Source organism: Homo sapiens, chromosome 18 (assembly GCF_000001405.40).
Source record: "Homo sapiens chromosome 18, GRCh38.p14 Primary Assembly".
Lineage (NCBI taxonomy): Eukaryota > Metazoa > Chordata > Mammalia > Primates > Hominidae > Homo > Homo sapiens.
The window spans coordinates 70,154,406-70,181,765 of record NC_000018.10 but is presented as its reverse complement, the minus strand read 5'-3'; the positions used below and the strand labels follow the sequence as shown (position 1 = coordinate 70,181,765).

The 27,360-nt window shown below is 36.5% G+C and overlaps 1 protein-coding gene across 18 annotated transcripts in view, besides 1 other annotated feature; it reads left to right on the top strand.

Moving 5' to 3' along the window:
- Nucleotides 1-27,360, top strand: part of RTTN (rotatin) — a 202,657-nt gene that overhangs the window by 23,922 nt on the left and 151,375 nt on the right. For 16 of the 18 annotated variants that reach the window (XR_430072.4, XR_007066140.1, XM_047437468.1 and 13 more), the window contains 4 exons: nucleotides 4,921-5,091; nucleotides 12,699-12,911; nucleotides 14,735-14,847; nucleotides 15,578-15,704. Coding sequence is in view for 15 of the 18 variants with exons in the window: in XM_047437468.1 (XP_047293424.1) it covers nucleotides 4,921-5,091; nucleotides 12,699-12,911; nucleotides 14,735-14,847; nucleotides 15,578-15,704 (624 nt within the window). In the remaining 3 variants the exon portion in view is untranslated. Of the gene's footprint in view, nucleotides 1-4,920; nucleotides 5,092-7,619; nucleotides 7,850-12,698; nucleotides 12,912-14,734; nucleotides 14,848-15,577; nucleotides 15,705-27,360 lie in introns of those variants that run through there. The other 2 variants (NM_001318520.2, XM_011525906.3) reach the window with 2 other exon arrangements.
- Nucleotides 15,429-15,558: an enhancer, noted in NCBI's record as "active region_13482". NCBI's record gives its function as "activates an Ori minimal core promoter by ATAC-STARR-seq in GM12878 lymphoblastoid cells {active_cell/tissue: GM12878}" and the evidence as "EXISTENCE:reporter gene assay evidence [ECO:0000049][PMID:35858748]".

Sequence of the window (27,360 nt, the reverse complement as noted above, 5' to 3'; positions counted from 1 at the left end):
CAAACAAGTAAAATTTCTTAATGTTCATACTTTTGCCAGTTTTCAAAAGAAAGACGGAAGCAGTATTTTTGTTGAGTCATTAAAGGAACAAAATAATAAATGTTGCTATCAATTTAGAAATTAAGTACCTGAGGATATATAATCAAATCTCTAGGTATTTCCACACAGTACTAATATCAGTAACATCAATCATGTCTGGAACCCTGTAACTCAGCATGGAAGGGAATTTCAATTTCCCCCCTTAATTGAATATTTTTATATTACTCGAAGTAAATAAAAGAAAAAATATTTTCACCAAAATTAGTTATGCTGACCTAAAGTATGTCATATGTCATTCCCCCTAGTCCTCCATCATCAAATCAGGTCTATTTTTTCCCTATTTACATGCTAAGTCAGGTTCAAGATGCAAGGAGAAAGTAGCTTTCACCTCCTGCCAGATAACCTAGACTCTTAGGTCTATATTCTGTTTCTTTTCCGCATTTCTTCTGTGTCATTCCTGTCATTGCAGTCATTGGAAAGCAGTCTTTTCATCTTTATGACTCATTGCTTCTAAATTCCCATCTGACCTGCTGTGAACTGGTAACTTCAACATCAAGGCATGTTGGTAGAATTGTAGAATGTTGGTAGGACTTCAAGAGGGGCTAAGAGGATTGTGAAAGAAACTAAAGATCTTTGTATCCAGTAAGGGCTCATTAAGGATATTTGGACCAGATTGTGAATTGATAACTGGTGTAGTGGGATCTCTAATTACATAGACCTTCCCTGCTGCTGCCACCATTCCAAAGACAGTTATTTTAACTCACATTTCTTGATTGCCCGTTATTAATATATGCTAGGCACTTGGGATATCAAATAAGATGTAGTGCTTTTTATGCCTATGGGTGATAGATACTTTTAATATGACATTAGTAAAATAGAGATAAGCATAAAGGAATAACACGTAAACTAAGATAGTTTAAATATAGCACTTACTGTATGTCAGACACTAAGCACTATTTATGAGGTCATTTAATTATCATGACCCTGCAAACTCCATAACTGAGGCACAGTTTATTTTTCAGGGTCACTTGTGGTTTTGTATTTATAGCCATTATGTTTTATTGCCAATGGTGCTTTGAAAACACTATGAACTATGAACTTGGGATGTCAGTGAGGGCTTTTTTTTTTTTTTTTTCTCTTCCCCAGACTCAGAGTCTCACTCTGTTGTCCAGGCTGGAGGGCAGTGGCGTGATCTTGACTCACTGCAACCTCCGCCTCCTGGATTGAAGCAATTTTCGTGCCTCAGCCTCCCAAGTAGCTGGGATTACAGGCATGTACCACCACTCCTGGCTAATTTTTGTATTTTTAGCAGAGACTGGGTTTTGCCAGATTGGCCAGGCTGGTCTCAAACTCCTGGGCTCAAGGCACCACTCCTGGCTAATTTTTGTATTTTTAGCAGAGACTGGGTTTTGCCATGTTGGCCAAGCTGGTCTCAAACTCCTGGGCTCAAGTGATCCTCCTGCCTTGGCCTCCCAAAGTGCTGGGATTAGAGGCATGAGCCACCGTGCCCGGCCTCAGTGAGGGCTTTTTGTAGATCTGAATGAACTGAGTTTTAAATTATAGGTAGGATTTGGCCAAGCAAATAAAATAGCATTTTTTTTTTTTAATCTGGCGGAGCGTGAGAATGAACCATGAGCCATGACAAAGAGGCATGGATAGTTCTGATCGGAGATAAAGGATAGGCCTGGTAGTAGATGGAACACAAGCACCTAGACCATGAAATGTGAGGTGCAAATAGTGGAGAGAGACTGGTGGGATAAATGAGGGTCTGCTGGTAGGGGTCTTTTGGCATGATGCTGAGTAGTCCTGCCTTTCCTCTGAAGGCATGATGAGATTGCTTTTAATCAGAGAAGTGCCTTGTGAGACTGGCAGGAGGAACCGTGACTGGCTGCAGTGTGGAAGGTCCATTGGAAGCATGTGAGGGGCAGAGCCTGCTGCAGTTTCTTACTCCAGGTGCCTTGTAGAATCCACAACCCATTGTATATTGCAGAGGTAGTGTGTAAGTTGTGTTTACACTATAAAATCTGTTTTATTGGTAATATTTAAGACATTTTGCTAACCTGGTATTTCAATTTTGTACCTTCTGTTGTAAAAACTATGAGTATCCTGTGAGGACGGGTCTTTTCCCCCACCGTCAACTCCTTTAGGGTTGTTGCTTAAACATCTTTAGCCCAAAGAATTAAAAAATGTGGGCCAGTTACTATTGTTTTTCAATCCTTTCCTACAAAACAAAACAAAACAATACAAAAAGCCATTTTTTTTATGCTTAGAAGAAATGTTGGAAATAGAACTGTAAAACTCATTCCTAAAGTATTTTCTTTTTATGATATTTTGAGAAGTACTCAATTCATCATTAGAATTAGCAAGATTATTTTAAACAATTTCACAAGTAAATAGACTTGAATAATAGAGATGTTGTTCCTAGTACTGTTTTCATGGAGAAATACTGTATGGAGGAATTAATTGCCTGTCAATATAATAAGACTGTCACTGTATTTCCAATTTGTTTTCTCTAGACCAGTAGTTGTTTGTATGAGGGCGTTTTACTTTTTCTGTTTTAATTTTGTAAGGATTGTTCTACTTTCGGTTTAAATATTTATTGCTTTTTAGTTTTATTTCTTGGGGATCAGAGAAATATAGCCTTAAATATACACTGAAGTTTTCTTTGTGGTAAAGTATGTTTAAAGTTAATTTTTGTCAGTGTTTCTTGGAAACTTAAGGAGAAGTTATATTCTTTGCAGTGTTCAAAGTTTATGTCTATTAATTTTAATTATGTTCAAAAAGACTGAGTTAAAATTTATAAGTCCATATCAATAACATGTTTTGTTGATGTCCTGTTTTATTCAGATCACAGACTCATTTTTATTGAGTCTTTATTGTTAAACATGTCATCAGTAGAAAATTACTCTAATTTATTTTGCCCTAAATTATTCACTATTCATATTGCTTAGAATTTTTGTTTTAATTCTACTACTCATTGAACTTTTAACCTTTTATTCACAAAGTTTTTTTAGAATTTTATTTTCTTTTTTTACTTATAATCCCATGACAGTTAAGGATTTATATATAAATTTTTAATTTTTGTTTTTTACTTCAATATGAAATTGTTTCATTTATAGGAAAATTTAAACTTTTTATAGTATAGTTATGCTTGGTCTACTCTCAAAAGTTTTTGCCTTGTTTTGCTTATGTAGATCATTTTGTCTTCCTTTTACTTCTGCAGTGACATTGTTGTACAACCATTATCATTATCTATGCAACTTTTTCATCATCTCAAATGGAATCTCTGTACCCATTAAACAATAACCCCTCATTCTGCCTATCCCCAGCTCCTGGTACCTCATATAAGTGGAATCTATATTTGTCTTTTTGTATCTGGCTTATTTTACTTTTGTATTTGGCTTATTTTATTTTATGTTTTAAAGGTTCACCCATGTTGTAGCATGTATCAGAATTTAATTCCTTTTGAATGCTCAACACCCTTTTCTTTTTTTCTTTGAGACAGAGTCTTGCTCTGTCGCCAAGGCCTGAGAGCAGTGGTGTGATCTTGGCTCACTGCAACCTCTGCCTCCTGGGTTCAAGTTCAATCCTGCTGGGATTACAGGCGTGAGCCATCGCGTCCGGCCTCCTTTTCTTGCATGTATATACAACATACCACATTTTGTTTCTGCATTTATTGGTCAGTGGCCACTTTCATTGTTTCCACCTTTTGGCTGTTGTGAATAGTGCTGCTGTTAACCTGGGTGTGTATACATCTCTTTTGGAGACCCTGCTTTCAGTTCTTTTGGGTATATTCCCAGAAGTGGAATTTGCTGGATCATATGATAATTCTGTGTTTTTTTGAGGAACTGCCCATTATATTTTCCACAGTGGCTGCACCATTTTACATTCCCACCAGCAATGCACAAGGCTTCCATTTTTTCCATATTCTTGCCAACGACTTGTGCTTTTTGGGCCTCATACCTTTTAGTTGTTCCCTGTATAGTCATCCTTGAATTGAAGAAATTCTGGTATATTAGATTTTTGTTCTTAGTTTGCAGGTATTTCTCATTCTTCTTTTCATATGTTTTCAATGGAAAATTGAAAGTTAAGTACTTCAGTTTTTTTTTTCTTTCTTACTGAGGGTGTCCTTTTACCCGCTAGTTTATGGGGGCATATCAGTATATCTGGGATATACTTTGTCTATATTGATGTGACTTACAAGACAGTCTACTATGCATAGATTCTTCTTCATATTTAATGTATACCTTTTAGTTTAAAAGATATGATTTCTCTTGAAGTAGTAAATTATTTAAATTTATGATGGCATAACATTTTCCACTTGAAACCTTATTATCTAAAGAGAGTTTATAAAATTTGATATTTAATTGTTTTTTAATTATTTGACTTTCCTTGATGCATTTCTTTAGAAATGTTGGTATCAATTTGAGGACAGAGATCATCATGTCTCTTGTACTAATGCATTGTTCTTTCATTATGCCTGCCACTGTGTTAGGCGTATAGTAAGCATAAGAAATACTTGACGAGGGGTTTGCGTGTTAACGTTCCAAATTGGAACAATTAGGCACTAGAAACTAGGAGGAAATTATGGTTCATTTACCTTTTATATTCTATTGTTTGTATTTATTCATTGTTAAGATTCATCATATTAAATACTTAAAAGATTATTGTATTTTTAAAATGTAGGTGGTTTATCATTCTTTTGTGCTTTTTAAATTATGTCAGCAGGCATTGGTAATTCTCACAGGAATAAATTCTGTTTTGATTTGTTTTCCTATTTAATGAAAATGATAATATTTTAAACTGTTCTCCATGGCTTTTGTATACTGGCCCCTAAAATTGGTTGTTTTCTTCTGTTTCATGTTGTGTAAATGTTTTCAGAAGGAGAAACTACTCCTGGTGTTGGGAGCCCTTGGAGAAACCATGTGCTACCATAAAAGTAGTATCAGTTTGGAGCAGCCAGAGGTGATGCTTGTGCACCACAGAATGGCCTTTATCAGCATTTCCCTGTTTGCAGTTCGACTGCTACAAACGCTTCTCCCTGTTGAAAAGGTAAGGCAGGCAATGCTGCTCATTTGTACTTTACAGACTATTATAAATAAATGCTCTGTTGTAAATTTCTTCTGCTCTTTTCATGGTGTGAAGGTATTGTGCTTTAGGCCATTTTCAAAATAAGTGTAACAGGTTATATGGGAAATGTAGAAATTGAGAAATGGCTAACATTTTGAACAATTTTGACAAATCATTTGATGGGAAATTATTTTTTAATCGTGCTGTTGCTTTTATTGCATATGTTTTATTGCAGTCTGTACGTTTGTTTATTCCTTGTTCATTCAGTGAATAATTTATTGATTGCTTACAGTGGACTAACAGTATTACTTGCTGGATGTAAAACTGAATAGGTTAGAATTAGTCCCTGGCCTCATGGAACTTAGTTTTGTAAAAGACAAGACTTGGCTGTTATCTATACATATACATATACATATACATATACATATACATATACATATACATATACATATACATCTACATCTACATCTACGTATACATATACATATACATGTATATGTTTGACTTCTTTGGTTTCTTTAATAACTTTGGGATCACTTGAGGGAAGAGATTATGTCTTAATATACGAATACATTTTTCCATACATATATACATATATAATTGGTACACTTGTATCTTTTAATTGATTGGAGGGCATTGAAAGCCTACTGATCTTATCTCTGCAGTGTGTGTCTTGGTTCTTATCATTAATATCAAGAGTAGCCTTTCCTTCTCTTCAGCTAGGTACGTGTTGTCAGAGTTCTTTACTTATTCACTATTTCCCAGGTTCCTTGACACACAGAATACAAACAATAGTTTCCATTGCTGCTCCAGAAATTATTTTATAGTTAGCATATCTTAATGTCATGGAACCTTTTCTTTTTCTTGTTTTATCTATTCAAAATACTGTTAGCAGTGCTTTAGTTTCTAAGTATTGGTCAAGTTGGTTTCTGAGGACTGTCCTATTTCTTGTATTTGTTGTACTTTATGTATATTGCTGGTGTGTTGCATATTTTAGTAACTTAAGGGATTTTTTTTTTTTTTGGTCCCATGCATTTCTCTTGAAGGTATCCCACTATTTCCTTTCTGTCAGCAACTTAATTGCTTAATATTTTTATTTTAGCACCTGATCAAAAGAATTTCAGAAGTCATCTTTGGTAGGATTAAATATCCTGATTTTTATTTGATTCATCTAGTTAATATTTGGTAACTTGTTTTATGTCTAAACCATATTTGTAGTTTGAGTTACGTAATATATGATTTCATACCTTAGTATGTCTTTTGAAAGTTGTTTTTTTAATTAACGTGTTGCTTTAGGTGTCTTTCACAAAGCTGCTTTTCTGCCCATGATAGCAATAAACTATCTTCTGTGCTAGTCTTTATTCTAGTACTTTTCTTTTTCCTACTTTTCTATTTTACCTAGACCTTTCTTTTCTTAAGCTTTGGTGTTTTCAGTTTTTAACTTTTATTCAGAAAATAAAATGTTCATTTAAAAAACATTTTGATGTACAAAGAAGAATAAAAATTCATTTATAATTTCAAGTTAGTTTTGAGGCTTTTTTCTTTTCTGCTTTAAGTCCAATTGACAGCGTCTATAAAAGTTATTTATTCTTTTTTTTTTTTTTTTTTTTTGGTTTTGGTTTTGTTTTTGAGACGGAGTCTCACTCTGTCACCCAGGCTGGAGTGCAGTGGCACTTTCTTGGCTCACTGCAGCCTCCACCTCCCAGGTTCAAGTGATTCTCCTTCCTCAGCCTCCCAAGTAGCTGGGATTATAGGTGTGAGCCACCACACCCAGCTAATTTTCGTATTTTTTTTTTTTAGTAGAGACCAGATTTCGCCATGTTTGCCAGGCTGATCTTGAACTCCTGACCTCAGGTGATGTGCCCGCCTCGGCCTCCCAAAGTGCTGGGAGTACTCGCGTGAGCCACTGCACCTGGCCTGTTTATTCTCTTTTTTTTTTTTTTAACCATTTCTTATTATCTAACATACATTTTCCATTTAATTAAACACTTCATAAATTTTAATGGGTACTAATATTTTACCAGCAAGATGTTCTATGATTTCCACAAGTATTCCAGAAATTAAGCTTTTAGGTTTCTTTTTTTCTTTTTTTGGTATTTTGATAAATAACACTATGCTGAATTGCTACTTACGCATGTTTACTCATATTTTGGATTCTTAAATTCCTAGTGGCATTACTAGTTCAAAGGCTGAATGCTTAAACATGTTTTTATTATAAGCATAATTTAAAAATATTATAGTTTCACGAGTTTCATTGTTTTTAACTAAAGAATGGATAAAAAGAGTAGTACACGGAAAAGATAATTGTGAGAATATATGGCCGGGAAATTACTAAAAAGAAGCACTTTTTGAAAGTGCCTAAGGCTGGTGTCTCTTCTGTGTGTTTGCCAATTACAGTTTCTGAAATTGTGCACTGTTAGTTTAACTAGAACACTTAAATTTTTAAATGATTTTTAAAATGCTATCAGAAAAAAACATTAATTCTGTAAAGGCTTTTTTTTTTTTTTTTAAACTTTCATATACATTCAGAAAAGTACATAGTTCAGTGCTTTTTCTACTAAGTGAATGCATCTGTCTTTAAAAAGTGACCACCCCCATAACAGAAAATAGAATGTTACCAGCATTCCAAAGACCCCTTCTCTGTTACCTCTCCCTCCTTCTCCAAGCCACACTCCTTTCTGACTTCTGTCACTATAGATCAATTGGCCTGTTTTGAATGTTGTTTAAATGAAATTATAAAGTATGTACTCTCTCAACTCCTTCTTGAGGTTCATAACTATTGTTGCCTATAGCATTAATTTGTTAACTTTTATTACAAAATATTCCATTGTATGAAGTCTGTTAAAAGTGATTTTAATATGTGTAAATATTTCTTTAAAATCTTCTTACTGACTGTATTTTTAAACGTGAGGTTATCTCTGAATTTGAATGTTAGTGGTAAAAATATCTCAGATCATTCAGACATCAGTGTTTCGTGGTGTACTTATTACCAAAACAAAGGAGTGACACACTAAAATGCAGGTATGGGAGAAATTATGAAAACTAGAAAACTATTCCTTATGCCTCTTTGTTGCCCTTAGTTATTAAACATTTGCAGCTTTGTTTCCTAGAATTCTGTAGAGCATATAGTCCAAACTCTATTTTCTTTTTTTTTTTTTTTTTTTTGAGTTGGAGTCTTGCTCTGTCACCAGGCTGGAGTTCAGTGGCGTGATCTCCGCTCACTGCAACCTCCGCCTCCTGGGTTCAAGCCATTCTCCTGCCTCAGCCTCCCGAGTAGCTGGGATTGCAGGTGTGCCCCACCATGCCCGGCTAATTTTTGTATTTTTAGTAGAGATGGTGTTTCACCATGTTAGCCAGGATGGTCTCGATCTCTTGACCTCTTGTTTTGCCTGCCTTGGCCTCCCAATGTGCTGGGATTATAGGCATGAGCCACCGCGCCTGGCCCAAACTCCATTTTCTAAGTATCACTTATATACACAATGTATTATCAGGTGATCCAGGAAAACGGATAAAACACTGCATTTTAAATATAGTATTTTGCTTTAAGGAAAATAACATCACTTGTGTTACTTTTAATTTTTAACTTGTATTCACTAGTCATTATGTTTCTGAAGTCCTTTTCTGTTTTGAAGAGTGACAATTTTTCAAGGCATAAGCATCAAGAATGGAAGAATTCCAGTCTCTTAAGAAAGGAATTGAATTTAAAATATGGGTGTCTTCCTTAATATTATATAAATGAAAAATTAGTGGTGCTACAATTGCTTGCTATTAAGTATTGCAAATGGTCAATCTATCTATGGGTCGAAGTATTGATGGAAAACTTATCCTATCAGTTGCATCATGTAGTTTTTGATTGTATTTTTTCATCTATGTGCTTATTTGGACAGGAACCAAAAAGAAATCAGTAATTTATTTTACTTAGTGCCAGAATAATGTAAAGTTAATTTTCCATGCTTTTTTTTTTAAAGGTAGTTATTGTTTTATTGTTTCCGTTTTTAAAAACAAATCAATTATCTAATTTTTGGTAGTTATTTTAAATATATAACTTGGAACTTTATTAAAACAATTTTGATCATTGTGGGAGATTGTAATTAAGGTATTTGTTTTTAGATGATTATATTTGTTTTGATTAATTGACTAAGTACTTTAAAATGAGATCTAAACAAAAATGCTATTTCATTGATGTTAAATTTCTTCTTTGGTTTATATAAATGTAAGGTTATGCTGCCCTCTGTCTGTTGCTAGCCCACTAATAATTGAAGTAGAATTTGGACTCTGAAACTTTTTGCCTTTAAAGTGGTTTTTTTGAGTTGCCACTGACCAAGTAGGTAGTTTGGATGTTGGAAAATAAATATGAATCTATGTAGAGATTTCCTAAGTTTAACAAAATGTCCTCTGATGCCTGTTTTGAAACTGATATTTGTTGATATTAAATGATTTTGGAGAATACTCATGTATAGGTTAAAATGATACGTTGGTAATCTTCTGAAAAATATTGTGGTTGAGTAAACTAAATTGGTAAAACAAATGAAGGTAATTTCATTTGGGGAAACATCTGGGAAGTAAGAGCTAAAAGTACTAGCCCTGTTCTGGAAGCAGAAGCACAGAGCATTCTAGGAACTGCTGTTACTCTTAGCTAGTGATGCTTACCAAGGCTAAGGAAGAATTTGTAACACAAGGTCTTTAGCTTTTCAGGGAGGTATATAAAAAGATCTAATGACCTGGTGAAGCCAGTTGAGTGACTGAGAGCAGTGCTTTTCAAACGGTAATGTTCAAACAGATCACTTAGAGATATTGTTAATCACATCTTGCATATTCTGATTCATCAGGTAAAGGGTAGGGCCTGAGAGCCGGCATTTCTAACAGACTCATAGAATTATGCCATGGCTGCTGAGTGGCTAGTTTACAGGAAACATTTATAGCCCCTCCTCCCAATGCACATGAGGTGATGTTGCTGATTATTTTTTATCTAATGGGGTGATGGATTTGCACTGAAACATCTTCACTTTTAGTTCTGATGGCATGTGACTAATGCTTATATATGCAGGACAGCTATCTTAGATTAGGGGTGTAAATTGTGATTAGTCCATTGGGCCATGTAAAGATTAGCTAATGACATTAGCATGGGGCTTTGAGTTGTTGAGATAGCAAGAGTTTCAAATACAAGTACGCAGGGTGAAACATTGGAATTCCTTTGTGGTGAAGCGAGAAAAGGAAATTAATATTTATTGAGTGCTATATGCCATATGCTCTGCTTAATGCTTGTTTAATTCTCACAGCAGCTGTTATTTTTCTGACTAGAGTCAGAGAGAACTCTCTTAAACTAGAACACAGTGCCTTTAGAGTTAGATCCATTAGGATTTACTCTCTTAGCACAGTGTAAATCGCCTTTGCTAATTTCTCTTTATCTTCCTAACTCTTCAGGAGTGGAACCCCAGGACTGACAGTAGCCCTCATGAAATATATCCCATTTGTGATTGTTAAATGCCATCTATTTGTTGATGCCTGCCAAATTTATACTTCCAGACCAGACATATAACCTGAACTCTGAACTTACCTGTATCCAGTGTCCTTTTTGATGTCTTCACTTGGGTGACAATAAATGTCTCCAACTGAACATGTCCCAAACTTCATTCTTTGTTTCCCCTTCCAAATATGTTCTTCCTATAGTCTTGCCTGTCTCGGTAAATGTCAACTTTGTTGTTCAAGTTGATCGTTGATCAGGCAAAAACCTTAGAGTCAGCCTTGATTCCTTTCTTTTGCTCATATGTGGATATAATCCCTGAGCAAAATTTGTCATTTCTCCCTTGAATACCTATACAGAATCTGAATACCTGAGTTAAGCCCACCATTCTGTCCTGCCTGGATTACTGCAGTAAAGTCCTCTGTCTCTTAGCTTCCACTTTTGCACATTACCATCAGTTCTCTACAGACCAATTTTGATACTTGTTTAAAATGTTCCAGTGGCTTTCAGCAGAGGACAATTCCTTATGACGACCCAAAGCCTTAACTGATCTGGCCCACCACTCCTTTCTGACTCCATCCCTCAGAACCAGCTCCACTGGCTTTCTTGCTACCAAATAATAGTTTTTGTAATTGCTCTTCCCTCTTCTATAAATGCTTTCCCTCAGATAGCCACGTGGCTCCTGACCCTTCCAGGGTTCTACTTAAATGTCATCTTATTAGCGAGGCCTTCCTCTACTACTTTGGAGAAGTAGCAGTTCCCTGCCTCCACTCCCCATTACTTCTCTGTTCCTCTTCATCTTTCCTATCCTGTTTTAAAACACTTTTTAGCCACACCTAACATCTTAGGAAGTATATCGATTTACACTCTACTTTCTTCAGTGGGATGTGAGCTTCATGCGGGCAGAGGTTGTATTTTGCTCTCTGCTGGGTTCCCAGGACTGGAGAGGTACCTGGCATATAGTGGAGGAACATAGTAAGGCCTAATTAATATTCACCGAGTGAGTGAATAATAGGTGAGCAGATAATTGAGTTTCTCTTTTTCCTCCCCCGCCCACAAAAAAAAGGAAAGTTCTTCACAGAATAATGAAATTTCTCTTTACTTTCTAATAGCTGCTGTTTTACTAATCTGGAGGTTTGTCATGTCTGTGTAATCTAAAATTTTGATTTCTGTAGTTTCTGATCTTCATTTAGCAACTATATTCATTTAAAGGTATCGTTGTTTAGCTGATTCAGCTCTTAGACTTTCAGGTAGTTAATGATTATCCTTGAAATAGGTTATCCATGAAATAAATCATGACCAAACCCACTTTTGTAAAGACAGCATTTCAGCCGTAATAGTGAGTCTTGTCAAGAGATTTTCTCTGAACGTCAAATTTTTAGTCCTTTTTATTCCTTTAATTGATATTTAGAATCCTGTCACAAAACTAGAACCATTTTTTTAAAAACCATAATTCTTTCAGTTTTAAATCTATTGATTTAAGGTTATAATGTGTATAATATTTCATTTGGGCATATTGATTTTATACTAATTAAGGGGCTATCTTCTGTATTTTAGAACTATTTAAAATATTATATTGGATTTCCACTATCCCCTCTAAAAGACAAAACCAAAGAAAAAAATTCGTTTCTGTTCAAATCAATCTATAGCTATACTTGATTTCGTGTTATTAATATGTCATTAATAAGCTCTGTCATGTTCAGCTATGGGATGGGGAAGTGTTCTTGTCTTCAGTTTATCAGGTTATTGGGGAGATTTGCGTACATGTACAGAAAATACTTAGAGAAAAAGGCCTCATGCCTTAGTTCAATAGCAGAGGTATATACAAGGTGCAGGGCTCAAGGAGAGAAGAAGTTGGTTTGGGGAAGAAGAAAGTAGTTAGTATCTTAGGCTTTGAGAAAGAGTTGATATTTGGACTTGAGACATTTTGTATTGAAAAAAGACAGAGATAGAGGTAGATGATGTGTTGGGAAATGGGATTTTCTTTGGAAAAAGTTTCAGTTTTTTGACAAAGAATTGCTAAAAAGGAAGTTGGATTAGATTAAGACTATAGCCCACTATGTTTCTCTAAAATAAGTTTTTTTTAAACAAAGTTTTAATTTTTTTGTTTTTTTAATTCACCAAGGCAAGCGAGTTTTTATCAGAGCCTATGTCAACAGCATTATTTCTCCTTTCTTTGGACATGCCTATTTCTTTGGAATATCCAAATATTCATGAAGCTGTTGTGGCCTATTTGGAACAGCTGAATTCTGAAAACTACAGTATTTATAAACGAACTGCAGAGGCCGTTTATTCAATTGAATGCACCTGTAACTTCCTGTCTGATATTGGGAAAGAGGTAAAAAGCTTTTTTAATATCTCTTTTAAATCCCTTTGACATATTTTGAAAATTTAATCTATACTTTTCAAATTGATGGACATATAATTAAATTGTCACAGGTGGGATACATTATTCCTGAGTGGGTCAATTATACATAACCTGTTATTTAACAGGTTAAAGTAAGGATATGATTTGTATAGAAGTAAAACGAAGACTTTAATTAATGGTGTATATTCCTAACATCAGTGATTTACAAAAAAGCAGTGGTTATTACAAATGTCTTAATATTTAATAATGAGTACCTCTATTAAGTGACTTACTGATATGAACTGAATGACAGTTGATGTAACCAAAATTATAAGGGCTATTTTAGTGCTTACTTGTAGACATATTTTTGCCTCAATATTTTATAGATAGTTCTTACATATATATAAAGGCTGATTTTTGAAATATATTAAGTACAGTGATGAACTACATTGTTTATAATGTATTAGGATGACTTTATGGCAGTGTTACAGCAATAATTATGTGTCGGTATTTATCCCTTTTAAAAATACTATTAGAATATTAGTATGTTATCAATGAAAGGGTTAATGGGTCTTAGAGACAGACATTGATACAAGAGTTGTTTATTGTTTGAAAATAAGGACATGGATCCTGAAGATCTTGAAGAATTAGGGATAAAATTCTTACTCATTTTGGTGCCTACAGTAGAATCTATCTGAACCTATTTATTTTCTTTGAATTTTTTTTTTTTTTGACAGCCTTCTCAGTTGCCTAGGCTACAGCCTTGATCTCTTGGGCTCCAGCAATCCATCTGCCTTGGCCTCCTAAGCAACTAGTACTATAGGCACATGCTACCACACCTGGCTAATATTTAAATTGTTTTGTAGAGATGAGGTCTCACTGTGTTGCCCAGGCTGGTCTTGAACTCCTGGCGTCAAGCTGTCCTCCCACCTTGGCCTCCCAAAATGCTAGGATTAAAGGTGTTAGCCACCGTGCCTGGCCTTGAACTTGATATTTATGATTTTTCTTACTTACCACTGTAGTTTGTTTTTTTTCCCCTTTCCTTTTGCCATGTTAGTACCACTGTCTTCTTGTTTTCTCTGTGATAGAATTTTGAATTGTGTCTTTAAGTTGAAGTATTTCTGTGGCTTTTTTTTTTTTTTGAGACGAAATCTCACTCTGTCTCCCAGGCTGGAGTGCAGTGGTGCAGTCTTGGCGCACTGCAAGCTCCACCTCCCGCCTCAGCCTCTCAAGTAGCTGGGATTACAGGCTCGTGCCACCACAACCAGCTAATTTTTTGTATTTTTAGTAGAGACGGGGTTTCGCCATGTTGGCCAGGTTAGTCTTGAACTCCTGACCTCAAGTGATCTGCCCGCCTCGGCCTCCCGAAGTGCTGGGAGCCACTGGGTCTGGCCTCTGTGGCATTTTGTGTGGTCAGTTAATCACACATGTGTTCAATGTCCTGTGTGTTCCTAGTGGTCAGGCTGCTACAAGAGGCAGGTTTATAATAAAATAAATACATTAGCCCTACTTTTATTAGGGGAGGTAGAGCTACAAAGAAGTAATCAAAGAACCAGGCAACTTGATTGTAACTTTAAGCTTACTCAGAGTTAAATAATAGAAAGTCTCATGTGGCATTTAGCTAGGGAATTTTCCTACATTTCTCCACCTCGGCTGACATTTTTAGGTTGCTTGATGAGAAAGTGGACTTAAACAAATGTAAACAGTCTCATGGTCTCTGAATGGTCTAATTTCTTGAAGCTGCTTAGTTAGCTGTTGAGAATATCATTGCACATGAACTTGACATTTATTGTTCCATTCTGCTTCTTTTGTAGGGAGAGAAGAATCTCTTAGAATTAGTGGAGCTGGCAGACCAAGCCTTGCGTAGCTTTTCCTATCATCAGCATTTCCCGCTAATAAAGGAAATCATCAGCATTTGTTCAAAGATGTAATATTTTCTTTCTTAATGTGATTACGTTATTATTGGACACTTAGGGTGTGTGTAAACTTAGAAACAGTGAAAGTGAAACTGACTGTATATCTTTGTTATTATTTTTTAGTTTAATTGCTTTTATATGTGTCTGATTTTTAAAGGGTATATGTACAGCTGCATTAGGATACTTAACTGTTATATTCAAGATTAAACTTCAAAAATGTCATGCCTACAATCAAAATGAATAATCCTTGGATTTTTATACATTTGTTTTTGGTATCCATCCAGACTATTCACACACATTGTTTATTTATCTTTAAAGTTTTAATTAATAACTTAAACTGAGAGTTTTGTAACTTTTATTACTTTGTACCTTTTTCTTATGTGGATTTTTAGAAAAGACTGTGTATTGGTTAATTTATTTTGAGGACATCAGCAAATTTCTATTTAGAACTTAGTGTCTTTATTGCTTTTGGAAAGAATAAATTCTGTGATGTGATAATCATTAACTGAGTAGGGGATTTTAAAGACATTTTGGGTTTTTAAAAATACTCTTTAAGACAGAACCTCCTCTGCCCTGAAACAAATAAGTGCTTAGGTGAGTACTTGCTAGTATTGGTTATTTTTAATAAGATCTCAGTTTGAGGAGTTGGAGTAGGAAGAAATCCCTTCCAGTATGCTTTGCAGTCTTTTGCTTACTAACTTACTTGCCTCACATGTCTTGGTTGTTTTACCTTTTCACCAGCTGGAAATCTGCTCAGGCCAGTCCATTACTACAAGGAGAAAGTCAGAAGGTGCTTCTCCATATGTTGTCTCACCCATTGCCACGAGTGAAAGCTGAAACTTACCACTGCTGTCTGGAAATCACGAAGGTGAGGTTTTGTTTTTTCGTATGTTTTGTTTTTGAGAACAAATAGTAGACTCTCTTGTTATACCTTCAAACTTAATTTACTTGACCTTTTGTATGAGATATAAGAACTATATCCCATAAAAGTAGATGATAATTACTAGTCAATTCTGGAAAATTTGTACTATTAAATTCTCTTAACTTAGTAAGTCCAGCAATTGAATTGCTTTATTTGAAGTTTTATTAAGAATTACATTTATGTTGTATTAATGATGGAAAAATTATAAGGAAAATTGATTTCCAGGTATTCAAAAGTGATTTCTATGCCCAGGAAACCTTTTAGGTTGTTGTGGCCTAGATTTTATGGTTTTAATTCTGTTTTTTTTAATGTTATTTTTTATTTTTCTTTTCTTTTGAAATATTTATTTTTCTGTCTTCTTAAATGATAAAATATTTCAGCATAGAATATTAAATATTTCAATATTGAAAAGAACACTGTACATAGGACAATATTTAAAAGTATATATATTACTGCGTACTCTTGAAAGTGTCCTTTTGTATTTAACACTCTTGTAAGTACTATTTGGTTATAATAAGTGTTTACATTTTGCCATTTTTACTTCTGATTCATTTTTATTCAAAGAAAAATACTAGTTATAGAGGAAGCTTCTTTGCTTTCTCTTCTCCCACCAGCATAGCCTAGCCACTCTTACACAGCTGGTGTATATTCTTCCCATCCAGTTGTTGTATATTATTTATAAAGCTGTATCTTTATATATAAATATTATCTTTAAATAATTTAAAGAATTTTATATATAGCATGATTAGTATATATAGCAGGATTTGAGATTTGCCTAGTTCATTCACCTTAACTGCTATTAAGTTTGAATATACTTCCTTTTATTGAATGATAAATATTTAGGTTCAGTCTCCTTTTTATTGAAGTAAGTTTTTCAGTATTTTCAGTGACAGTCTGTGACTGTGTGCATACGTTTGAAAATGTCATGATTTCACTTTATTTTGAATAGTAATTTGGCTGCATATAAAATACAGGTTGACTGCTAGTTTTTATTAGCACTTTGCCAGTATTGCTTAATTCTTATTCGGCTTCTATCATTGTTGAGAAGTCTGATATCAGTTAATTATGATTTCTTTTAATTTTTTTCTCTAGTTTGTTTTAAAATATTTTCCTTTTCTGTGGTGCCCTGCGGTTTCATTAAAATATGTCTCCATGCATACATGATTTTCCATTTATCTTGCTTAGGACTTTTCGCTTTGAACACTCCATCTGCCTTCACTTCTGTATAATTCTTGGTCATGCTTATTTTGAATATTGCTTTTCTCTTATCCTTGCTGTTTTCTCCAAGTGGAACTCTTATTAGACCTGTGTTAGACCTTCTTAGTTTACCCTTTGTGTCTTTTAAGCCTTCTTTCATATTTTCCACATCTTTTTAGGTTTTATTTGGGTAGAATTTCTCAGTGTTATCCTTTCAGTACACTAATTCTTTCCTCAGCTTTGTCTAATTTACTTTTTTTGATGGTGATATGTATATATAACATAAAATTTATTTTAGGCCAGGTGTGGTGGCTCATGCCTGTAATCCCAGCATTTGGGAAGGCCAAAGCAGGAGGATCACTGGAGCCCAGGAGTTTGAGACCAGCCTGGGCAACATAGGGAAATCCTGTTTGTACAAGAAAAAAAAAAAAAATAGCTGGGCATGGTGGCATGTGCCTGTAGTCCCAGCTACTTGGGAGGCTGAGGCAGGAGGATTGCTTGAGACTGGGAGGTCAAGGTACAGAGAGCTGTGATCATGCCACTGCACTCAAGCCTAGGCAACAGAGTGAGTACTTCATTTCTGGAAAAAAAAAAAAAAAAGGAAAAAATTTTACCATTTTAACTATGTTCTGAGTGTACAATTCAGTGGCATAAGTACATTCGTATTGTTGTACCATCATCACCATTACCCATCTCCCAAATTGAAACTTTATAGTCATTAAACAATAACTCCTCATTCTCCCCTTCTCCCAGCCCCTGACAGCCACCTTTCTACTTTCTGTCTCTATGAATTTGAGGTCCCTAGGTAACTCATATAAGTAGAATCATACAGTGTTTGTCTTTTTGTTACTGGCTTATTTCACTTAATATAATGTTCTCAAGGCTCATCCATGTTGTAACATGTATCAACATTTCATTCCTTTTTAAGACTTAATAATAATCTATTGTCTGTATATATGAACACTCCAATTCTGAAAATCCAAAATCTAAAAGGCTCCACAATCTGACACTTTTCGAGTGCCGAAATGACACTTAAAGGAAATGCACGTTGGAGCATTTCCAGTTTTGAATTTTCAGATTAGGGATGCTCAACTGGAAAGTATAATGCAAATATTAAGAAATCCAAATAATTTCAAAATCTGAAACACTTCTGGTCCCAAGCATTTCAGATAAGGGACACTCATCCTATACTACATTTTGTTTATTCATCCGTTGATAGGCATTTGGGTTGTTTCCATCTTTTTGCAATTGTTTATATACCCAGAAGTGGAATTGGTAGATCACACAGTAATTCTGTGTTTAATTTTTGAGGAATTGCCCTACTGTTTTCCACAGTGACTGTACTATTTTATGTTCCCACTGGCAGTGCCAAGGATTCCAGTTTCTCTTCATCCTTGGCAATACTTTTTATCTGGATTTTTTTTTTTTTTGAGATGGAGTCTCGCTGTGTCACCAGGCTGGAGTGCAGTGGCACAATCTTGGCTCACAGCAACCTCTGCCTCCCGGGTTCAAGTGATTCTCCTGCCTCAGCCTCCCAAGTAGCTGGGACTACAGGCGTGCATCACCATGCCCAGCTAAGTTTTGTATTTTTAGTAGAGATGGGGTTTCACCATGTTGGCCAGGATGGTCTCGATCTCTTGACCTCATGATCCACCCACCTCGGCCTCCCAAAGTGCTGGGATTACAAATGTGAGCCACCGTGTCTGGCCTTGTTTTTTTTTTTTTTTTTTTTTTTTTTTTTAATAATAGTAACCATCCTAATGGGTGCAAAGTCATTTCCCATCATAGTTTTTTTTAAATTTATCAAGTTTTGATTATCACTTATACTGTTTTTCATGTCTATACCTTTTCTTTGCTTTCTTTAACTGACTTGTTCTTTTTTCATGTAATCTTTCATTAGTTTCTGTTTTTTTTTTTTTTTTTTCAACTTTTATTTTAGGGTTGGGGGTACATGTGCAGGTTTGTTACATGGGTAAATTGTGTGCTGCTGGGGTTTGGTGTACAAATGATTTTGTCAGCCAGGTAGTGAGCATAGTACCCAATAGGTAGTTTTTTGATCCTCACCCTCTGATATGGTTTGTCTTTGTGTCCCCACCCAAATCTCATCTTGAATTGTAATTCTGTAATCCCCACGTGTCGTGGGAGGGACCCAGTGGGAGGAGGTAATTGGAATCATGGGGGCAGTTTCCCCCATCCTGTTCTTCTAACAGTGAGTGAGTTCTCATGAGATCTGATGGTTTTATAAACATCTGGCATTGTCTCTGCTGGCATTCTGTCTCTCTCCTGCCGCCCTGTGAAGAGGTGCCTTCTGACATGATTATTTCCTGAGACTTCCTCAGCCATGCAGAACTGTGAGTCAATTAAACTTCTTTCCTTATGTATTACCCAGTCTCGGGTATGTCCTTATAGCAGTGTGAGAATAGGCTAATACGTTCTCTTCCCACCTTCCCTTGTGAAGTAGGCCCCACTGTCTGTTGTTCCCATCTTTGTATCCATGTGTATACGCAGTGTTTAGTTCCCACTTCTAAGTGAGAATGTGCTGTATTTGGTTTTTCTGTGTTAATTCACTTAGGATAATGGCCTCTGGTTGCATCCATGTTGCTGCAAAAGACATTATTTTATTCTTTTTTAATGGCTGAGTAGTTTTCCATGATGTATATGTACCATAGTTTCTTTATCCAATCCACTGTTGATGGGCATCTAGGTTGATCCCATGTCTTTGCTATTGTGAGTAATGCTGCAGTGAACATCTGGGTTCATGTGTCTTTCTGGTAGAAAGATTTATATTTTTTTGGGTCTATACCCAGTAAGGGATTGCTAGGTCAAATGGTAGTTCTGTTTTAATTTCTTTGAGACATCTCCAAACTGTTTTCCACAGTGACTGAACTAATTTAAATTCCCACAAGCAGTGTATAGGGCTTATAGTACTGTGTTCCCTTTTCTCTCCAACCTTGCCAACACCTGTTATTCTTTTACTTTTTAATAATAGCCATTCTGACTGGTATGAGATGATATCTCATTGTGGTTTTGATTTGAATTTTTCTAATGATTAGTGATATTGAGCATTTTTTCATGTGTTTGTTGACCGTGTGTATGTCTTCTTTTGAGAAGTGTCTGTTTATGTCCTTTGCCCATTTGTAATGGGGTTATTTGTTTTTTACTTGTTGATTTAAGTTCCTTATAGATTCTGGATATTAGACCTTTGTCACATGCATAGTTTGCAAATATTTTCTCCCATTCTGTAGGCTTTTTACTTAGTTGATATTTTTACTTAGTTGATAGTTTCTTTTACTGTGCAGAAACTTTTTAGTTTCATTAGGTCCCACTTATCTATTTCTGTTTTTGTTGCAATTGCTTTTTTTGGAGACTTCATCATGAAATATTTTCCAAGACCTGTGTCCAGAATGGTATTTCCTAGGGTTGTTATAGTTTTAAGTCTTACATTTAAGTCTAATCCATTTTGAGTTGATTTTTATATATGGTGAAAGGAAGGGGGTCCAGTTTCAATCTTTTGAATACGCCTAACCAGTTATTCCAGCACTGTTTACTGAGTAGGGAGTTATTTCCCCGTTGTTTGTTATTGTTGTCTTTTCAAAGATCAGATGGTTGTAGGTGTCTGGCTATATTTTTGTGTTCTCTAACCTGTTCTAGTGGCCTGTGTATCTGTTTTTGTACCAGTACCATGCTGTTTTGGTTACTGTAGCCCCATAGTATAGTTTGAAGTCAGGCAGTCTGATGCCTCCAGCTTTGTTCTTTTTGCTTAAGTTTGCTTTGGCTATTCGGTCTCTTTTTTTGGTTCCATATAAATTTTAGAATGGTTTTTTCTAATTCTGTGAAGAATGACATTGGTAGTTTGATAAGAATAGTGTTGAATCTGTAAATTGCTTTGGGAAGTATGGCCATTTTAACAATATTGATTCTTCCTATTCATAAGCAGAGAATGTTTTTCCATTTGTGTCATCTCTGATATCTTTCTGCAGTGTTTTACAATTCTCATTGTGATTTGGCTCTGAGCTTGGATGTTATTGGAGTACAGAAATGCTACTGATTTTTGTACATTGATTTTATATCTTGGAACTTCACCGAAGTCATTTATCAGTTCTAAGAACTTTTGGGCAGAGAATATGGTTTTTTCTTTTTTTTTTTTTTTTTTCAGGTATAGAATCATCTGTGAAGAGAGAGAGTTTAACTTCCTCTTCCTATTTGGATGCCTTTTATTTTTCTTGCCTGATTGATCTGGCTAGGCCTTCCAATAGCATATTGAATAGAAGTGGTGAGAGTTGGCATCTTTGTCTTGTTCTGGTTCTCAAGGGGACTGTTTCTAGCTTTTGCTTGTTCAGTATGATACTGGCTGTGGCTTTGTCATGGATAACTCATTATTTTGAGGCTTCAATGCCTAGTTTGATGAGGGTTTTTAACAAGAAGGAATGTTGAATTTTATCAAAAGCCTTTTCTGTGTCTGTTGAGATGATCATGTGGTTTTTCTTTTTGGTTCTGTTTATGTGATGAATCACATTTATTGATTTGCATATGTTGAATCAACCTTGCATCCAGTGGATAAGGCATACTTGATCGTGGTGGATTAGCTTTTTGCTGTCCTGCTGGTTTCAGTATACCAATATTTTGTTGAGAATTTTTACATTTATGTCCATCAGAGATATTGGCCTGAAGTTTTCTTTTTTTGTTGTGTCTCTGCTAGGGTTTGGTATCAGGATGATGCTGGCCTCATAGAATGAGTTAGGGAGGAGTCACTCCTCCTTCATTTTTTGGAATAATTTCAGTAGGATTGGTAACAGTTCTTTTTACATTTGGTAGAATTTGGCTGTGAGTTTGTCTGGCCCAGTGTTTTTTTCTGGTTGGTAGGCTTTTTTTATTTTTTAATGACTGATTCAACTTTGGAGGAACACATTACTGTTCTGTTCATGGTTTTAATTTCTTTCTGGTCCAATCTTGGGAGTTTGTATATTTCCAGAAATTTATCCATTTCTTCTAGGCTTTCTATTTGGTATGCATAGAGTTTTTCTTAATGGTCTCTGAGGGTCTTTCTGTGGGGTCAGTGATAATGTCACTTTTGTCATTTCTGATTGTGTTTATTTGGATTGTCTCTTTTTTTCTTTATTAATCTAGCTAATGATATATCAATCTTGTATATTCTTTTGGAGAACCAAAATTTGGTTTTGTCGATCTTTTGTGTGAATTTTTGTGTCTCAGTTTCATTCAGTTCAGCCCTGATTTTGGTTCTTCTGCTAGCTTTCAGGTTGGTTTGCTCCTGCTTTTCTAGTTCCTCTAAGTGTGGTGTCAGGTTGTTAGTTTGCAATCTTTCTAACTTCTTCATATAGGCATTTAGTGCTGTATAGTTTCCTCTTAACACTGCCTTAGCTGTGTTCTAAAGATTCTGATATATTGTGTTTCTGTTTTTGTTAGTTTCAAAGAATTTTATGATTTCTGCCTTAATTTCATTCTTTACTCAAAAGTCATTCAGGTGCAGGTTGTTTAAGTTCCCTGTAATTGTATCATTTTTGAGAGATCTTCTTGGTAATAATTTCTATTTTTATTGCACTGTGGCCTGAGAGTGTGGTTGGTATGATTTCGGTTTTCTTGAATTTGTTGAGAATTGCTTTACAGCTGAGTGTGTGGTTGATCTTAGAGTGTGTGCTGTGTGCAGATGAGAAGAATGTGTTTTGCTTTTGTTGAGTGGAGTACTCTGTAGAGTCTCCTAGGTCCATTTGGTCAGGTGTCGAGTTTAGGTCCCAACTATTTTTGTTAGTTTTCTGCCTCAGTGATTTGTCTAACACTGTCAGTGGGGTGTTGAAGTCTCCCACTATTATTTTGTGGTTGTCTAAAACTCTGTAGGTCTCTAAGAACTTGTTTTATGACTGGGTGCTCCAATGCTGGGTGCATTATATTTAGGATAGTTAAATCTTCTTGTTGAATTGAACCCTTTATCATTATGTAATGCCTTTCTTTATCCTTTTGATCATTGTTGGTTTAAAGTCTGTTTTGTCTGAAATAAGAAGAGCAACTCCTGCTCTTTTTTTGTTTTCTGTTTGCTGGATAGATCTTTATCTCCATTCTATTACTTTGAGCATGTGGGTGTCACTGCATGTGAGTTGGGTCTCTTGACAGCATATAGTTGGGTCTTGGTTCTTTATCCAGCTTGCCACTCTGTGCTTTTTAAGTGGGGTGTTTAGCCCGTTTATGTTCAAGGTCAGTATTGATATGTGAGGATTTGATTCTGTCGCCATGTTGCTAGCTGGTTGTTACGTAGACTTGATTGTATAGTTGCATCATAGTGTCAGTGGGAGATGTATTTTAGTGTGTTTTTGTGGAGGCAGGTAATGGTCTTTTGCTTCCTTTTTTAGCACTCCATTGAGGACCCCTTGTAAGTCAGGTCTCATGGTAATGAATTCCCTGAGCGTTTGCTTCTCTGAAAATAATTTTGTTTTTCCTTTGCTTATGAAGCTTAGCTTGGCTGGATATGAAATACTTGGTTTGAATTTCTTTAAGCATGCTGATTATAGGTCCCCAATCTTTTCTGGCTTGTAAGGTTTCTGCTGAAAGGTCTGCTGTTAGCCTGATGGAGTTCTTTTTATATGTGACCTGCTCTTTCTTTCTAGCTTCCTTTTAAGATTTTTTCTTTCCTGTTGACCTTGGAGAATCTGATGACTATGTGTCTTGGGGGTGGTCATCTTGAATAGTATCTCACTGGGGTTCTCTGAGTTTCCTGAATTTGCTTATTGACCTGCCTAGTGAGGTTGGAGAAATTTTCGTGGAAAATATCCACAAATATGCCTTCCAAGTTGCTTGCTCTCTCTCCTTCTCTTTCTGGAATGCTGATGGGTGTTAGGTTCGTTTTGTTTACATAATCCCATATTTCTTGAAGTTTTTTTTTTTAATTCTTTTTTCTTTATTTCTGTTTGCCTGTGATGATTCAAAGGAGTAGTCTTTGAGCTCTGAGATTTTTTTCCTCAGTTATGTTATTAATGCTTCCAATTGCATTATGAAATTCCTATCATGAAATTTTTGTTTCCAGAAGTTCAGTTTTGTTCTTACTTAAAATGTTTGTGTCAGATCCAATCATGGATCAAACCACCATTTTACTGGTTTCCATGGGTGGGGCTTCAGCCTTCTTCTATATCTTGTCGAGCTTCCTTGCCTTCCAGCTTCTGAATTCTGTCATTTTAGCCATTTCAGTTTGGTTAAGAACGATTGCTGGGGAGCTAGTGTGGTTATTTGAAAATAAGAAGACATTCTGGCTTTTAGAATTGCCAGAATTCTTACACTGTTTTTTTCTTACCTGTGTGGGCAGATGTTCCTTTAATCTTTGAAGTTGCTGTACTTTGGATGGGGCCTTTTGCTTTTATATTATTTGATGCCATTGAGGATTTTACTGTGGTATAAGTTGGGATTAGTCAATTGGCTTGGTTTCTGTGTGCTTTCAGGGCCAGAGCTCAGCTCAGCACCCCTGGGCTGTGTGCTCTAACCCTGGGGGTGCACTGAACAGGCCAGTGGCTTTGATTTCTGGTCCCTTGAGGTCAAGCATCTGCTGCACTGGAGGAGCCGAGATGTTCCCAGACTGCTGGCAACAACTTTCCGATGGTGACTGCCCGAGAAAGTGCTCTGGGGGGGCGTGGGGCGGTGCTTTGGGAGAGTGCACTTGTGGTGGGGGTAACCATGGGCAAGTGCGCACTGGCAGGGGAGGCTGCAGGCAAGTGCACACCAGTAGGTATTGGCTGTGGGTGGGTGTGTGCTTGCAAAAGCGCTCTGACAGGAAGGCAGAGGCTGTTGGCAAAAGACCTATGGGGTGGCTGTTGGGGAGCATTTCGGCAGGGCAGCTGAGGCTGTGTTGCAAGCTAGTGAGACAGACAGGACCCTTTGAGAGGCTGGCAGACAGGGTGGCATTCAGATCAGGTTGGCCCAGTCTTGTGGGAAAGATAGCCCTGCTCTTTCTACTTCTGGCAGCGAACTAAGGCTAAAGCCACCTAGAGGAGTATATCAAGATTTGGGTGATGGGCACCTATCAGGGAACCTGCCCCAATAGTCACGTAGTTTCTTTTCTGTTTTCCCTAAGTGTCGGCTGGGTTGGGAAATAAAGGGACAGAGTACAAAAGAGGGAAATTTTAAAGCTGGGCGTCCGGGGGAGACATCACATGTCGGTGGGTTCCGTGATGTCCCACAAGCTGCAAAACCAGCAAGTTTTTATTAGGGACTTTCAAAAGGGGAGGGAGTGTACAAATAGGGTGTGGGTCACAAAAATCACGTGCTTCACAAGGTAATAGAATATCACAAGGCAAATGGAGGCAGGGCGAGATCATAGGACCGCAGGACCGCAGGCAAAATTAAAATTGCTAATGAAGTTTTGGGCACCATTGTCATTGATAACATCTTATCAGTAGACAGGGTTTGAGAGCAACCGGTCTGACCAAAATTTATTAGATGGGAATTTCCTCTTCCTAGTAAGCCTGGGAGCGCTATGGGAGACTGGGGCTTATTTCACCCCTACAGTCTCGACCATAGAAGACGGCCACACCCAAGGGGGCCATTTTAGAGACCCACCTTCAAGGGCACATTCTCTTTCTCAGGGATGTTCCTTGCTGAGAAAAAGAATTCAGTGATATTTCTCCCATTAGCTTTTGAAAGAAGAGAAATATGGCTCTGTTCCACCCGGCTCACCGGCAGTCAGAGTTTAAGGTGATCTCTCTTGTTCCCTGAACGTTGCTGTTATTCTGTTCTTTTTTCAAGGATCCCAGATTTCATATTGTTCAAACACACATGCTCTACAATTTGTGCAGTTAACGCAATCATCACAGGGTCCTGAGGCGACATACATCCTCCTCAGCTTACGAGATGACAGGATTAAGAGATTAAAGTAAAGACAGGCATAGGAAATCACAAGCGTATTTATTGGGGAAGTGATAAGTGTCCATGAAATCTTCACAATTTATGTTTAGAGATTGCAGTAAAGACAGGCATAAGAAATTATAAAAGTATTAATTTGGAGAACTAATAAATGTCCATGAAATCTTCACAATCCACATTCTTCTCCCATGGCTTCAGCCGGTCCCTCCGTTCGGGGTCCCTGACTTCCCGCAACAGGCACCTATGGCCATGCCCCATTGCAGCCATTACTGCGCCAGACCCTCTGGGCTCTGTGCAGACTGGCATTCTGTCTCTGGCAACTCATTGGGCAGTTCTCCCTTGCAACTCAAAGGTCTGTGCAGGTCATGGGGTCTCCCATAGTTAGGATCCTAGAGGATCGTTGCAAGAGTGGGCTGCTCCATGCCTGTTGCACTTGCCACTTCCCTAAGAGCTGCTCAAGGCCAGGAACAAGTCCTCTAGTTTCTTCTTTTGTGTTGTTGTGAATTTTAAACATATTTATTTTATAATCTTGTTTAGATTATGGTATTAGAATCCTCCCACTTGTTATGGCTATTGAATCTTCCTTATGTTGTTTATTTTAGCAGATACTGTTATTTTGATTTTCAGGTCTTCTTTGGCAGGGTAGCTTTTTCTTGTGATCTTGTATTCTCTAGATGGTGGTTGTATATTTGTTTCTGCCTTGCCTTTAGGGATTTGACAGTTAGTGGTGATGCACCTTGGAAGGGGTTTGTAATGAAGTTACATTTTCATTTGTGTATGTTGAAATAATAAAAAGAATCAGAGGAGGAAAGATTGAAGATAGTGGGTAGCAAGTAGCTAATTAAAAGAAGCTAGTGCCTTTGAAAGTTGAAGGCGGTGGGACCTTGAACATGATGGCTAATTGGGGTTAGGTGGGCTTAGATATCACAGGAAGTTGCAGGAGCCTCCTTCTATTGAGTCTGTATTTTCTTTGAGATTGAAAGTGAGATGTTGAATGTGTGAAATGACTAATATGAGTAGATATTTGATAATATCAAATAGTAGCATTTTTGGGCTGCATGAAGAGCTTAGTCAATTGTGTCTATAATCTTAATAGGGAGACTCTTCTACTTTGCATGTTTATCTTTGGCTAGCTGGTGTGGTTTCTGGGAATGTGAACCTTGCGATCAATCAAGGGTTGAGTTATTTCATTGCTGTCGGGGAGGAGGGAATGCCTGTGGTGCAAGTGAGCTGAGTAGTTGAAATGACATGTCGACTGTAGAACCAAAGGCTGTAAAGACTACAGGGAAGAAAGTAGAAGGGTTTATGGACTGGAGGTCAAAGAAGGACCATATTTCAAGTTGAGTAAGAAGATTAGAAACCTACATTTATGATTTTAGAGGTAGAACAAGTGAAAAGAGAAGGGGTCCTCAGTTATAGGGCAGGTGAGTATCATTGAGATAAATAGGTCAAGAAACTAAGATCACTGTATTTGGGATAGTTATTATACCCCGAAATTTAAAATGGTGGAATACGATTTGATATCTTTCTTGAGGCAGATTTTAAA